Here is a 16,278-nt window from a genome sequence, read left to right on the forward strand (position 1 = left end):
ACCACCCTCATGAATAGATTAGTGCCATTGTCTCAGGAGTGGGTTCTTTATAAAAGGATGAGTTCCACCCCTCTTTCTCTTTCTCTCTCTTCTCTTTCTGGCATGTGATGTCTTCTGCCATGTTTTAATGCAGAAAGAAGGCACTCACCAGATAGATGCTGGCCACTCGATCTTGGACTTCCCAGCTCCTAGACTGTGAGAAATTAATTTCTATTTATAAATTGCCCTCTTTATAACAAGCATCCTGTTATAGCAGCATAAAGCAGACTAAGACACCCATACCCATCCTGATACTCATTATTAGAACATTAAGCATGTGTGTATATCCTGGTAAGTTATTAAAATTATTATTTTATTTATTTATTTTTATTTTGAGACAGGATCTCGCTCTGTTGCCCAGGCTGGAGTGCAGTGGTGCAATCACAACTCACTACAGCCCTGATCACCTGGCTCAAGTGATCCCCTTACCTCAACTTTCTGAGTAGCTGAGCCCACAGGCATGTGCCACCATAATTTTTTATTTTATTTTTTGTTCAGACAGGGTCTCACTATGTTGCCCAGGATGGTCTCGAACTCCTGGGCTCAGATGATCTACCACCTCAGTCTCCCAAAGTGTTGGGATTACAGGTGTGAGCCACTGTGCCTGGCAAAATTATCACTTTAAAGATGAAGAAACTGAGGCACACATAGGCACCCCAGATTGGGAAACAACCTGGCTCAAGCTCCTCAGTCCTGGGAAAGCTGGCCTGGCGCAAAGGCATGCAGTTTTCAGGGCAAGAGTCTCCCCTGCCCTGATCACCCCTTGGAGCCAGGATAGAACAGGGAGTCCAGCAGGTGTCTGGCCCGAACATTCTGTCCTCTGCTTTGGCCCAATTGGATTTCTGTAGAGAAATGCTCAGTTATATCCTTTGTCTGAAACCAACCCCTGGCTTTTGCTATACCCTGGACTTGGAGTCCGTACCTTGATTGCATCCAGCTGAAGTCAGACTGCCTGATGTAAAGGAAAGGGGTGGGGTGAGTGAGGATGCAGAATGGGGCCCTGCCCACTCCAGCGAGTTGTGAGGAGGCTGACATGATGGCTGACCTTTCCTTTATTAAGCATCTATTACATGCCCAGTGCATTAAATACATTACCTCCCTGAATTCTCTCACACCAGCCTTTGGGTTCTGCTGGACTGTCCCCTTGACATGAGGAAACAGCGGCACTGACTGTTTAATTGACTTACTTAAGATCACGCAGCTAGTTAAGCATCAGAGCCAGAATTTCAGCCCAGATCTGTCCTGTTCCAAAGCCACGCTCTTCATTATCCCCGTCCCCCTCTCTCCCATCATCCCTGGGGGAGGTGCTGGGGAGGGAAAAAGACATCTTTGACCTGGGAGCAGGAAGGGGGAGAGAGACCTTGGGCTTGTGGATGTAAACAAAGACCACTCAAATGAGAGCAAGCAAAGGCTGTTTATTCAGAGCTTGTTACAGTAAGGGAGGCAGCCACTGTCACTTGCTTTTCATGGAGACTCAAAGGCAGGCCGAGGGGAAGGCTTTATAGCGGAAAAAGGAGAAGGCTTCAGGTACGTCCTGTTGGTGGTGCAGGAAAGCTACAGTTGGGCTCATTAGAAGAGGGGCATCCTAAGTAATTGGTTAGGGGAGCATATTTGGCTTTCTCCGGTTTGTCCTGCATTGAAAGTGGGAACAAAATTAGGGAAGCTGTCAGTTACCATCAAGTCCTGGCCATTTGGGGCTGATTGCTGCAGGGGTTGTTCGTTGGCTTCCTGGGCTGGTGCTGTAGGTTTGGGGGCAGAGTTCTATTTTAATATGTGGTCTGGCCATTGTCTATTTGCATATTTGGTCTCCCAGAACCATCCACGTCAGGAGCAGGACCCCATCTGGCCTGGACCTAGCTAACCACTCCTCCTTCTGTGGTTTCTGTCTGCCCTTTCTTCTTTTTTTTTTTTTTTTTTTTTTTTTGAGACGGAGTCTCGCTATGTCACCCAGGCTGGAGTGCGGTGGCATGATCTCTGCTCACTTCAGCCTCCAGCTCTCAGGTTCAAGTGAGGCCTGCCTCAGCCTCCCGAGTAGCTGGGATTACAGGTGTCCGCCACCATGCCTGGCTAATTTTTGTATTTTTAGTAGACACAGGGTTTCACCATGTTGGCCAGCTGGTCTCGAACTCCTGACCTCAGATGATCCACCTGCCTCGGCCTCCCAAAGTATTGGGATTACAGGCATGAGCCACTGCACCCGGCCCTGTCTGCCCTTTCTTGAGCCTCTGGTCCCAGCAAGTTTGGTTGTAGTTTGATGTGTATTAACTCTTAATTCTCATAATAACCCTGAAAGGTAAGTGTGTTTGTTATTTATTGCTACATCACAAATATCTCAAATTGAGCAAACATTTATGATCTCATGTGATTTCTGAGGGCCAGGAACCTATAAGCAGCTTAGGTGGGTGGCTCTGGCTCAAGGTCTCTCATGAGGTTGCCGTCAGGATGTTGGCCAGGACTGCAGTCATGTAAAAGCCTGACCAGGGAGGGGCCATTGGCTTCCAAGGTGACCCCTTACACGGCTGTTGGCAGGAGGCCTGTTCCTCATTGGCTGTCGGCAGGGGGATCCTCTGTTCCTCGCCATCGGACCTCTCCATGGTGCTGCTTGAGTGTCCTCATGACATGGCGGCTGGCTTGCCTCAGAGTAACTCTTGAAGAATGTGCTAGAAGGTGAGCACCTGGCTGGAAGGGAGAGGGACAGAAGAGTGAGGATACAGAGTGAAACACATCAGTTCTTATTGTTATTTAATCTTCACAGCAAGACTTGTAGAAAGAAACAAGTTGACAGATGAGAAAATAGAGGCCTGGAAAGGAAAAGGATCTTGTCCCAGGTCACAGAGCTGGTAATAGCACAGCCAGGATTTAAATCCTTAGTTACCCTACAACTAAGCTCAAAGTCTTTCCAGCACTTGGCATATGTGTATGTGTTGGGGGTGGGGTTGGGGGTGGGAGTGCTTCGTTGTTGGGGAAAGACTCCCCCGAGCCGGGCTTAGAGGGGCTCAGGAGCCTAAGGGTGAGTCTGTCAACTGGCTGCCTCCCCCTGCTCTAGAGAAAAGGAAGCCAGTGCCTCTGGGCCAAGCCACCACCCACATGGGACTATTTTTACCCTCCACCTCAGGGACAAGTCTGCATTTCCCAGCTCTGGAAGGGCCATCTGGGCAGTCCGGCTGCCCCAGGAAGAGCTGCCACCCGGAGCTTTATGCCCTGCTGTCTCTGCAGCTGTTTCTAGATGAACCTTTAGCCCTCTGGCATGCCTGAGCCATCCAGAGTCAGTAAGAAGTCCCCCTCCTCCAGATCTCAAGGTTAATAAAAGCTCCTAATTAGTATCACTTGCTGGATGGACCCGCCAGAAGGAAAATGCTTAAATCTGCAGAGATTTTAAATTGTTCACGTTTGTCAATAAGTGTTCTTTGTATGAGCCATTTTAATGAAGAGATAAGAATGATTTTATTTGCATATTCAACTGTAAACCACCCAGACACCTTCAGAAACAAGTAAATAGATGACCACTATATGAGAGTGTACTTCAGGGAGGCCCAAGAGCCTTTGGACATCATTTATTTTCTGAAGTGGTTTTAAACAACCCCCCTAGGACCCGGTTTACACTCTTCATTTGTTTGGCACGCTTTTCCTGGAATGGGCAAAGGTAGCCTGCTGCCTGTTTGCCCAGTTCCTGTCCAAATGATCTCACGTTTCAAATTGGCAGAGGGAAAGTTAATGACATTTTACTGCATCTGGTACGGAATTGAAATAAACATGGATTGCCCTGTTCAGCCTTTGACCCCTAAGAGACTTCGAGGTTGGCCCCTGCTCAGTTTACCTACAGAGGTTGAAGGCAGAGGGAAGTACCCAGGCAGTTCAGGCCAACCATGCCTGTAATCCCAGCACTTTGGGAGGCTGAGGCAGGTGGATCATGAGGTCACTAGTTCGAGACCAGCCTGACCAACATGGTGAAACCCTGTCTCTACTAAAATATACAAAAATTAGCTGGGCGTGGTGGTGCACGCCTGTAATCCCAGCTACTCAGGAGGCTGAGGCAAGAGAATTGCTTGAACCTGGGAGGCGGAGGTTGCAGTGAGCCAAGATCGCACCATTGCACTCCAGCCTGGGAGACAAAGTGAGATTCCATCTCAAAAAAAAAAAAAAAAGAAAATTTAAAGAAATGCCTTGCAGGTTGGGTGTCTATGCAGTAGCAGACAGGGAGCAGTGCCTGGCTAAGTTCTACACAGTGGAGAATGAGACAGGCATCCCAGGTGACATGGAGCTCACAACCCAACAGAATACCTGGATTTTGGACATCTGTGATCTACTTCTGCCTCTGCCCCTAATTGACTGTGTGACATTGGACAAGTGAACCATCCTCTCTGGGCTTCCATTGGCTCATTCATTAACTATGGGAGCTTAATCAGAATACCTTCAATAAAGCTTTATTTACAAGAACAGGTAGTGGGCCAGATGGGCCCTCCTCTGTCTTCTTCTGCTCTATGCTTCTTGTGGGCTTGAAGACAGTGAGGAGCCAAAGGTCTGTACCTCGTCTACCCCAAAAGTACTGCCTGGGCCTCTGGTACCCTAATCTGTAAAATGAGAAAGTTGGTTAATACCTACGTTCTCCAAACTGTGCTCTTTGGATAAATAGTTCTGCGAGGTCTGCAACAGAGTAGACATTGACCTAAACAGATTTCATTGCTATAGGACTTCTCAGGACCTTTAGTATGTGGATGTACATTGTGAATTTCCCTGGGGGTGGGGCAAGGGGGGGATGCGGGATTCAGCATTTATCAATGGAATCCTTTTTTGCCAACACCGACTAATATTTTGTGCCACTATGTACCATTTAGCACAGTTTAGGAAGTGCCCCGAAGCCTCCCCAAGCCTAAGTTTCCTTCCCTATAGACCAGGGATGATGATGATGGTAACTGCCTCCTAGAATTGTTGGGAAGGTTAAATGAGGTAATGCCTGGAAACGGGCCTGGCGCAGTGCCTGGCACAGAGTAAGTGCTCAATAAATGCTAGTAACTATTATTTATAATAAGGTCCTTCCTTTACAGCTCTGACATTCTGCGCTTCCAACTGTAGGGTGTAATTAAGCTCTAAAGCATCTGGCTTCCCGAGTAGAAAAAACAAGCCTGGAGGAAGGAAAAAGGAAGAGAAAGCTCCTTATGGGTTGCCCATTTGTTCACAAGCTTCACTGCCAGCCGTCACAACAAGGGAATGTAGCAAGATGCCAACTCCTAATGACGGAGCTTGGGTGGGTTGGTGGTTCCCTATTTAGCTTAGACACTGTGGGGACTATCTGAGACCGCGGAGAAGTGAGAGGTAAAACCAGTGCTGCTTATGGTCAATCAGTGAAACCTAACTGCATCCTATGTGCGTCTTCCTTTTCCTTCTGTCCTGGACACAGTGATCCTGGCCACTTTCAGGTATGTGTGACCTGCTGGGGGGAACAGTCACAAGGAGAGCTGAGTCAGAGAAGGTAAGTGGGACAGATCAGACTGGAAGGGCAGGAAGGGCAGTCCCACAGAGGAATAGCATGTGCAGTGGCTCAGAGGCTGGCGGAGTGCATAACTATAGTTGCAGGCCAGGGGGGGTGGCTCACACCTGTAATCCCAGCACTTTGGGAGGCCGAGGTGGGCGGATCATTTGAGGTCAGGGGTTCAAGACCAGCCTGGCTGACACGGTGGCCCGTCTCTACTAAAAATACAAAAATTAGCCAAGCGTGGTGGTGCATGCCTATAATCCCAGCTACTCAGGAGGCTGAGGAAGGAAAATCGCTTGAACTCGGGAGGCGGAGGTTGCAGTGAGCCAATATGGTGCCACTGCACTCCAGCCTGGGCAACAGAGTGAGACTCCATCTCAAAAATAACAATAATAATAATAATAACTGTAGCTGCAGGGGAACAGGCATGGGGAGGCGGTGAGGAAGAACATCAGAAGAGATGGCTAAAGAGGCATGTGGGCGCCAGGACGCTCAGGACTTCATCCAAAACACAGGGGAGACACACGATCAGCCTGGCATTTACATTTCCCCAGATTAAAAATAAAACAACTCTTTTTTCGCATTAAAAAATTTGACAATAGAGTTTACAATAAGAAAAAAATTATATTTTTTGAAAAAGAAAGGAAAATGGTGAAGACTCTTGCAACCATATGGAGGACAGAGTGCACTGGCTCTAGGAGGCCGGTTTGGGGGCTACTGCAATAGACAAGGCAAAAGGCCCCGATGAGTGACCCCACTCTAAGTATATACCCAAAGAACTGAAAACTGGCACTCCAGCAAATATACACACATGCATGTTTATAGCAGCACTATTCACAACAGCCAAAAGGTAGAAACAGCCCAGCTATTTATCACTAGATGAAGGGATAAGCAAAATGTGGTTTATCCATACAATGGAATATTATTCATAGGAAGGAGTGAAGTATGTGTGCATGCTATAAACCTTATAGCATATACTTACACATACTTTAATAATGTGGATGAACTTCAGAAACATTACGTTAAGTCCGGGTGCTGTGGCTCATGCCTGTAATCCCAGCACTTTGGGAGGCTGAGGCAGGCAGATCACCTGAGGTCAGGAGTTTGGGACCAGCCTGGCCAACACAGGGAAACCGTGTCTCTACTAAAAATACAAAAATTAGCCAGGCATGGTGGCACACGCCTATAGTCCCAGCTACTCGGGAGGCTGAGGTAGGACAATCGCTTGAACTTGGGAGGTGGATGTTGCAGTGAGCCGAGATTGCATCACTGCACTCCAGCCTGGGCAACTAGAGCAAGACTGTCTCAAAAAACAAACAAACAAACAAACAAATGCATTATGTTAAGTGCAAGAAGCCAGACTCAAAAAATAACATATACTGTATGATTCCATTTGTATGAAATACCCAGAAAAGGTAAATCCAAAGAGAGAACCAAGATTGGTGGTTGCTGGGGCTGGGGAGAGAGGTGAGTTGGGGAGCAACTGCTTGATGGGTACAAGGTTTCCTTTTGGAGTGCTGAAATGTTTTGGAAGTGGTGATGGACATTGTGAATGCACAAATTGCCAAAATTGCCAAGACATTGTTCACTTTCAAACTGTTAATTTTATGTTATGTGTATTTCATGTCATTTTTTTAAAAAGGCAATGATGCAGGTGAACAAAGGCAGGGAAAGAGGAGATGGAAAGTGGGAGGGGATTCTGGAGCCTGTGAATCTGAGGAATGGTTCCCAGATTTCTGGCCTTCACTGGGAGTGAACAAGTGGGCGGAGTGGTCAGGCCAAGGTGGAGTTGAGGGGCTCAGGGTTGAACATGATGAGTCTGAGGTGACCGTGGGATGTGCACGTGACAGTGTCAGGCAGACAGTTGGAGGCATGGCCGGGGAACTTAGGCACCCTGGGGCTGGAGATAAAGGTTTAGAAGTCATCAGCTTGTTCACCCATTCACTGAACACGTACTGAGCATCTTCTGTGTCCAGCTAAGTGCTAGGGAATCACAGTGAAAGCCAGTCCCTGCCTTCAAGGAGCTCAGTCTGGAGAGGAAGACAAGTAAAGAAACTAGATAATGATAAACGGTGAGAAGGTGCGAATAGAGGAAGACATAACATGTGGGGGGCACCCAGAGGGGACACTGTGGACGCAGGTCAACAGAACACAGGAAATGAGTGTTTCACTCTGTCCCTCAGCAGTTTAGCAATGCCAACCCCTGCTCGAGCATAGGAAATCATTTTCAGACTCTGCTAGCATAGCCAAGGACTCCATGCAGATTCTGCAAGGTGGAGGACTTTTGAGTAGGCATGCTAGTCAGATGCCTTTCCGGTGAAGGACAGAACGTGTTGTAGGGACTCCTGTCACCTGCTTCAGGGTCTGTGAAGGCAGGAAATAGAAACATATTCAGGTCAGGACAACTGCTGGGGACTACCCCCTTCGAACAGATCCCACGGCGGGACACAAGCACAAGGCAGGTTGGCTCTGGCTAAGTTGTGCTCAGAATTGTAAAGACATCTTGCCCCTTGTTTTGTCTGCTCTAAACATCATCTGCTTTCTTTTGAGGAATCGCTCTTCCCCATCCCAACCAGTTAAGGTGGGACCTGCCAATTAGGCTTCCCCTGCCCCCCAGATATAAGGGGATGCATGATTGAGGCTGAGCCAATCTTAGTACTCTTCTGCCTGACCTTGATGATTAGCTCAGGGACAGGGATGTGACCCACGACAGGCTGGTTGGTGGCCACCAGGGTCCCTGACCCCAGGTATCATACCCTTGTATCGTCACTCCCACAGTGATGCTGGGCTTGGCTATGTGATTGGCTTTGGCCAGTGGGACAACTGAAAGCGTAATGTAAGCAGAGGCTTGGTGAGCGCTTGCACAATGGGGCTGGTCCTCTTCAAACACTCACTTTTGGGACCCAGCTGCCATGCCAAGAAGCCCAAGCTGGCTATTTAGAGACAGCGTGTGAACAGGGCAAGTTTCTAGCTTTCAGCCATCCTCGCCACGGTGCCTGACATTTAGGGAAACTATTTTGGGCACTCCTGTCCCATGAATGACAGAGCGAGACCAGCAGAGCTCTGCAGCTGAGCCCAAAACCCCACAGAATCATGAGAAATAATTAAATGGTTATTGTTAAGCCATTCCGTTTTGGGGTTGTTACACCATAAGGAATAATTAAAAGATAAGCCAAAGTGGGCCAATCTGAAATCTTCCCTGAGAATTTCTACACGGAGGTGGTGGAAAAGAGCTCTGTTCTGTCCAGTGACAAGGCTATAGGGACGCAGGCCTATTATATTCCTCTCCACAGTGGAAAGATAGAGAAAACCTATCTGCGGCAGAAAGGGTGAAGTCCCAGACACAGAAGAGTCAAAACAATAGTGAAAGAAAGCCCCAACTTTTAGAACCCTGGACGCTCCTGTAGTCTGGTGACATAAGGTATTAAATTAAATCCCCCTTTATGGCTTCAGCTACCTCAAGATAACTTTTTATCAGTTACACAAAGGGTCCTATGTAATTCACCTGATAACATATCATAAAGATCTTTGCCAATGTCCTTAAGTCAAGAATAAAGTGATCACACTATTGATGTTGTTGAAAGCTTTGTTGAGCATGTACAATGTGAGAATCTTGAAGGATCTTCCCCCAGTCGTTGTAAGGGGTAAGACAAGGGAAGGACATGGTTCACACCACACCAGGAACCAGTGTCCAGGGCATTCACCTGTCAAGGCCAGCTGGATGCAGGAAGGTGTTCACACTCATTTGAGTATTAGAAACACGTTTATTTCTCTCTTTCTGTAGGACAATTTGACAACACACACAAAATGCTTTTTTTTTTTCTTAAGATAGAGTCTTGTTATGTCGCCCAGGCTAGAGTGCAGTGGCACGATCTCGGCTCACTGCAACCTCCACCTCCTGGATTCAAGCAATTCTCATGCCTCAGCCTCCCAAGAAGCTGAGATTACAGGCATGCACCACCACACCCAGCTAATTTTCATATATTTGGTAGAGACAGGGTTTCACCATGTTGTCCAGGCTGATCTTGAACTCTTGGCCTCAAGCAATCCTCCCGCCTTGGCCTCCCAAAGTATTGGGATTACAGGTGTGAGCCACCACACCTGGCCACAGACTGCTTTTAAAAGGTTCAGGCCCTTTGCTCCAGCAATTCCACTTCCAGGAATTTATCCCATTGCAATGGTTTTCAAATTATGTTCCTGGTGGAACCGTGGGGTTCTACAGAGGTGCTTTGCTAGTTCTGCAAAACTTTGATTTGAATGTCACTGGTACTGAGGCTGATTTAAAACTATAGTCATCATCTTCTGAGATGTCATCTTGAGATGATGTCTAACTGGTCTAGAAGACCCCTAACTGGTCTTCTAAATACTGCATATTTGAATTTATAAAATATGCCAACAGAATGACTTCTTATCTGTTGCTTACATGAGCCTTATTAAGTTTCATTTAAAGAAGGGTCCTACTTCTAAAAAGAAACAGTATAGGCCAGGCACGGTGGTTCACGCCTGTAATCCCAGGACTTTGGGAGGCCGAGGTGGGTGGATCACCTGAGGTCAAGAGTTCGAGACCAGCCTGGCCAACATGGTGAAACCCCATCTCTATCAAAAATACAAAAAATTAGCCGGGTGTGGTGGTGCACCCCTGTAATCCCAGCTACTCAGGACGCTGAGGCAGGAGAATTGCTTGAACCCAGTGGGCTGAGATTGCACCATTGCACTCCAGCTTGGGCAACAAGAGCAAAACTCCATCTCAAAAAAATAAAATAAAATAAAATAAAATAAAATAAATAAACAGTATAAAACCACTGTCACAAGAAAATGATCATTTCATCCTAGAAGGTTTAGCTTCATGAAGATGTACTACACAATGTTTATACAGAGTTGGTTCAGTGAACCGTGGCTCACAGGCTGGATCTGGCCACCACCTGTTTTTCTAAATAAAGTCTGATTGAAACACAGCTATGTGCATTCATGTACACATGATCTGTGGCTGCTTTTTTGCCATAATGGCAGAATTCAGCAGTTGTAACAGAGAACTTGTGACCTGCAAAGGCCAAAACAAATACCACCTAGCTCTTTACAGAAAAAAGTTTGCTACTTCCTGGTTTATAATGATATAAAAATTGGAACCAAGCTAAATGTCCAAGAAAGTGGATTGATCAAATTACAACACATACCTTGCAAATGGAATGCAAGGCCCTTGTTGAAAAATAATGCTGGCTGGGCATGGTGGCTCATGCCTGTAATCCCAGCACTTTGGGAGGCTGAGGCGAGTGGATCACCTGAAGTCAGGGGTTTGAGACCAGCCTGGCCAACATGGCAAAAACCCCATCTCTACTAAATAAATAAATAAATAAATTAGCCAGGTGTAGTGGTACACACCTGTAATCCCAGCTATGTGGGAAGCCGAGGCAGGAGAATCACTTGAACCCGGGAAGTGGAGGTTGCAGTGAGCCGAGACTGTGCCACTGCACTCCAGCCTGGGCAACAGAGCAAGACTCCGTCTCGGGAAAAAAAAATGTTTTAGTTCAGCAGCTGTTAGGTTTGGCTGCGTACTGAAACTATCTGGGGGGTTTTTAAAAATTCCAAAGCTCAGGCCACTCCAGATGAATTAAATTTGACTCTAGGGGTGGAACCCAGGCATTGATATTTTTAAAGCTTCCCCAGGGGTTCTAATGCAGTGCCACTGTTGTAGAAGAATATTTAATGAGGCCAGGTGCGGTGGCTCATGCCTATTATCCTAGCACTTTGGGAGGCCGAGCTGGGAGGATCACCTGAGGTCAGGAGTTTGAGACCAGCCTGGCCAACATGGTAAAACCCCGTTTATACTAAAAATACAAAAATTAGCCAGGCATTGTGGTGGGCACCTGTAATCTCAGCTACTTAGGAGGCTGAGGCAGGAGAATCGTTTGAACCTGGGAGATAGAGTTTGCAGTGAGCTGAAATTGTGCCATTGCACTCCAGCCTGGGAGACAAGAGTGAAACTCCATCTCAAAAAAAAAAAAAAAAAAAAAAAAGAATATGTAGTGACACAGAAAGATGGCCACTATATATTATTAACTGAAGACAAAGAAGATTTTCTAACAATGTGTAGCATGTGACTCCTTTCTGGTAAGTTTCTATACACACATGCAAACAGACTCACATGTATGAAAATATATGCCCAAACTGACAGTGGCCATCTCTGTAGGCTGGGACTAGGAGAGATTTTGATTTTTTTTTTTTTTTTGCTTATCTGTATTTTTTAGATGTTCTACAATGAACATGGTATCTTATAATAAATGCAAAAAATAAAGTTGTCAATAGCTTAAAAAGCCATGTACTTTTTGTTTTAGGCAAAACTACAAAGAGGAGCATCTAATCAAACAACACATCCCCAGGTCACTCATGTGTGCAGCATGCCTTCAGGCATGCATCCCAACAGAGGCAGATCCCAGGCTCATGGGACAACAGGTTTTCCTTGGTGAGGAAGTCAGGCACTGCAGCCTCCAAGCCTCAGGCTCCTCAACTGTTAAAAAGGGATCAGTCTGCCTACCCCCAGGATTTAAGGCAGGCATGCATAGTGTCTGGCACATAGGAGGTGCTCAACAAAAGTTGCTTATTTCTCCATAAGCAGCTTTTAGCGTCACAGCCTGCAGCCAATCAGCTTCTTGCTGTTCTTGCCAAAGGAGGATTGGCTTTGCCAAAGCTGGGCCTGCCCAAGTTCATCCGCAGCCACTGGTCTCTGATGCTGTCCACCTTGGCTTGGAATCTCTGTTGCTCTTGGAATTTTTCTGTGTTCCCTAGAAGGACTGTGACCTCTCATCAACACAACCTGTATCCCCTACTCCCAGAATGGGTTCCATCTGCGTAGAGAAAGTGAGGGCTTCAAGTCTTCGTGGGGCTGCTCACTCTTAATAAAAACAACAGTGGCTGCCATGTATCAGAATTGCCCTACATGTGCCCGGGCTGACATCCTCTATCTCTCAGCCCCAACTCTGCAGGAATGTGAGAGTGTTCCCATTTCCCAGATGAGGCTCAGAGAGTTGAAGGAACTCCTTGAAGGTCACACAGCTGGTCCATGGCAGGTGCCACACTGCCTTCTTAGCTATGTTGGTTCCATCTTCTACTTCAAAAGACAGACATTCCCCAGTGGATTCTAATGTGCAGCCAGGTTTGAGAAGCATTGTTATGAAAGTAGTGGTTCTCAACATTGACTATACCGTGGAATCACCTGCACTGATTTACAAAAATGCTGGTGGGGGCTGGGCGTGGTGGCTCATGCCCATAATCCCGGGACTTTGGGAGGCCGAGGTAGGTGGATCACCTGAGGTCAGGAGTTTGAGACCAGCCTGGCCAACATAGTGAAACCCCGTCTCTACTAAAAATACAATAATTAGCCAGGTGTGGTGGGGGGCGCCTGTAATCCCAGCTACTCAGGAGGCTGAGGCAGAAGAATCACTTGAGCCCCGGAGGCGAACGTTGTAGTGAGCTGAGATCATGCCATTACACTCCAGCCTGGGCAACTACAGTGAAACTCCATCTCAAAAAAAAAGAAAAATGCTGGTGGGGGTTGGGAGTTGAAGAGTGGGGAGGGTGGGAAGAGGACAGGAAGAAAGGAATGGGGGAGGCTTCTGAAGTTCTGGATAATGTTCTAGTTCTTGATCTGGGTGCTAGCTACTTGGGTGTGTTTATTTTGTGAAAATCATTGAGCTGTACATTTATGATTTATGTACTTTTCTATATGAATGCTAGTCTACAGTAAAATTTTAAAGAAAAAAAGAAGCTGTCATCAGCCACATCACTGCCTCCTGGGAAAAGGCAGTCCGTGGCCTTGACCCATATTTTGAGGATGCTTTTCTCAGCATCAAGCAGTTGTCGGCCTCTGAGTCTGTGCCTGTCCCTGCCAATGAGCAGACTAACCCTACTTTCTTGCCATTGGGGCTTCTTCCTGGGTTAATGCTGGGTTAGCTACAAAACAAAACAAAAAAAACACAAAAGTCCAGGTACAGTGGCTCATTCCTGTAATCCCAGCACTTTGGGAGGCCAAAGTGGGTGGATTGCTTGAGTCCAAGAGTTTGAGACCCGCCTGGGCAACATGGTGAAACCTCGTCTCTACTAAAAATACAAAAAATTAGCCAGGCATGGTGGTGTGCACCTGTAGTCCCAGCTACTGGGGAGGCTGAGGTGGGAAAATTGCTTGAGCCTGGGAGGTAGAGGTTGCAGTGAGCAGAGATCAAGCCACTGCCCTCCAGTCTGGGTGACAGAGTGAGACTGTCCCCCCACTCCCCCAAACAATACCCACTGTTGCTATGGTTGCAGGTACTCAGACAGCCAGGCTAAGCTGGTTAAGCTCCACGGTCCCTCCCTCCCACAGTGGGAGTCATATGACCCTATGCTGTCTAAGCCCCAGGACCTAGGGCAGCAGGGGTATAAATGGCTACAGCCGAGCCCCCTGGGCCTGAACTGTGAGTTCCCTGGTTGACCTCTGCCTTGTGTCATAATTTGAGTCACTAGAGGTATGTTCTCTTGTTCTTCAGCTACAGGTTCTGATTTTTAGCTAGGCTTATGAATATGTTAAAGGAAAACAACATTTCCAACCCTCTTTTGCAGCTAGGCATGGCCATGTAACTCAGTTCTGGCCAAAAAAGTGTAAATAAAACAGTCTGTGCAATTCTGGGGAAAAAAAGGAGAGTACTCTTCTCCTTCCCATACTCCTTCCTGATGCCTGGAATATAGCGTGGAAAGGCTGAGCTCCAGCAGCCATATTGTACCATGGGGTAGAAGTCATGTTTGTGGTTAGCAGAGCAATAAGACAGGAGCCTAGATCCCTTCTCCCTTTGCATCATGGAGCACCCTGTTGGCTCTGGAATGATTCCCTCAGGACAGCTAAACATGAGAGAGAAACTGAGCTTCAAACTTGTTTGAGCCAGTGATATTTGAGGGTTTTCATTCTTCTCAACCCAACTGAATCCTATCTGATACAGTAGGATTTGCTCCTTGGTCCTGAGTTCCCGCCTTGGTCACCTGCCCAGTGTAAGGAGGAGGGGCCTGGCCTGCTCCATCCTGCAACTGGAGTTCTGTCCTCGGCCCACCTCAGTGGCTGGTCCCTGCTACCTGCTGGAACCCCATCCATGCTGCCTCCCCACTCAGCAGGATTCTGTTCCTTGGCTGGCCCCTTGCCAGGATGGATGGCAGGCCTCCCACTCTGCTTGCTTTCCTGGAGTGAGGTCTGCTGCTTGCCTCCCACTCCCTGCTTCCCACTTACCCCTGTGCCCTTGGCTTCTGCCCTGGGCCTGCCAGAGTGGCTGCTCTCTGGATATCCCAATGCCACCAGTATCTTCCCCAGGAGCAGCCCATTCCTGACATACAGGAACAACGGCTCCTTCATTCATTGACTCATTTAAGCAGATATTTACCAAGCATCTGTTATCAGCATTGAGAACACCACAGGAAATAAGATCAGGTCGAATGGTGGGCCTAGTGCAAGCACTTACAAGTACAGGCTTTAGAGTGAGAACATCAGGCCCAACCAGCCAAGACACTGAAACCCATCTCAAGGAATTTTCAGGAGTTTCCTTTAAGGATATGCCCATGACCTGGGTTATGTGTCCAAGTCTGGATGAGTCACTACACCTCCCAGTCCTCAGCTGTCCCATCTGCACATGGTGAGGCTGAACTGCATGCTCTTGATGACTCTGTGCAGGTCTGACTTCCTGTGAAGGTAGGAAAGGGCCCAGGGGCCCCTAGGCCTGGTTTTGCCACCCATGGGCTGCTGCTGGATTTAGGGCCTTAAAACAACCACTTTATTATTAATTTCTTTAGAGACAGGGTCTCACTCTGTTGCCCAGGCTGGAGTGTAGTGGTGTGACCATAGGTCACTGCAGCCTCAAACTCCTGGCCTCAAGCAAGCCTCCCGCTCAGGCCTCCCAAAGCGCTGGGATGACAGGCATGAGCCACCACATCCAGCCCTCACTTTCTAATTATTTATTATGATTTTGTCGGTTGACTGGGGCCAGCCAATTCTTCTGCTGGTGACAGTTCCTTCAGCCCCTCTGACCTCTGGCCTAACATGGAAGTGGGGATAATCCATGTACCCAGAATTCTCCCAGAATTGATGAGATAAGACTCCAGGTCATGGAATAGTTAACGAGGAGGAGTTTCTCTTTAGAAGTAATCCAGCTAATAAATGAAGACAGGATGATAGAATTAGAATATTACCATTTCTGGGCCAGGCACAGTGGCTCACGTCAGTAATCCTAGCACTTTGGGAGGCGGAGGCAGTCTGATTGCTTGAGCTCAGGAGTTCGAGACCAGCCTGGGTAACATGGTGAAACCCCATCTGTACTAAAAATACAAAAAATTAGCCAAGTGTGGTGGCACATGTCTGTAGTCTCAGCTACTCAGGTGGCTGAGGCACGAGAATCGCTTGAACCCAGGAGGCGGAGGTTGCAGTGAGTCAAGATCCTGCCACTTCACTCCAGCCTAAGTGATAGAGTGAGACTCTGTCTCCCCACCTCACCAAAAAAAAAGAATATCACCATTTCTAACCCCCAGTGAAGTAACTGGTCTAGATATGGAATGTCAATAGCTATTAATGTCACAAAAAGGAAGTCACTAGACATTCTGTGCCTTCTGTGGAAAAACCTAATACCTACTAAGAACAAGTCTTGCCAAAAACTCAAAATCTTAATCTGATCAGGCCTCTAGATCCAACTATCCACTTATAGGAAATATAGAAGACAGAGAAATGTGTATAAATGACATCATGGATTTGCAATAATCAAAAT

General features: G+C 47.3%; 1 protein-coding gene and 1 long non-coding RNA gene across 34 annotated transcripts in view; one reads left to right on the forward strand and one right to left on the reverse strand.

The window, feature by feature from the left end:
• Positions 1-16,278, forward strand: part of LRRC37A2 (leucine rich repeat containing 37 member A2) — a 676,337-nt gene that overhangs the window by 608,560 nt on the left and 51,499 nt on the right. The gene's annotated exons all lie outside the window — the stretch shown is intronic.
• LOC101927060 (uncharacterized) overlaps positions 1,435-16,278 on the reverse strand; it is a 117,500-nt gene continuing 102,656 nt past the window's right edge. For 18 of the 33 annotated variants that reach the window (XR_007065805.1, XR_243711.6, XR_007065793.1 and 15 more), the window contains 2 exons: positions 4,451-4,610; positions 1,435-2,718 (listed from right to left, as the gene is read on the reverse strand). This is a non-coding gene — a long non-coding RNA (uncharacterized LOC101927060). Of the gene's footprint in view, positions 2,719-4,450; positions 4,611-15,709; positions 15,836-16,278 lie in introns of all 33 variants that reach the window. The other 15 variants (XR_007065812.1, XR_007065804.1, XR_007065808.1 and 12 more) reach the window with 4 other exon arrangements.

Source organism: Homo sapiens, chromosome 17 (assembly GCF_000001405.40).
Source record: "Homo sapiens chromosome 17, GRCh38.p14 Primary Assembly".
NCBI lineage: Eukaryota > Metazoa > Chordata > Mammalia > Primates > Hominidae > Homo > Homo sapiens.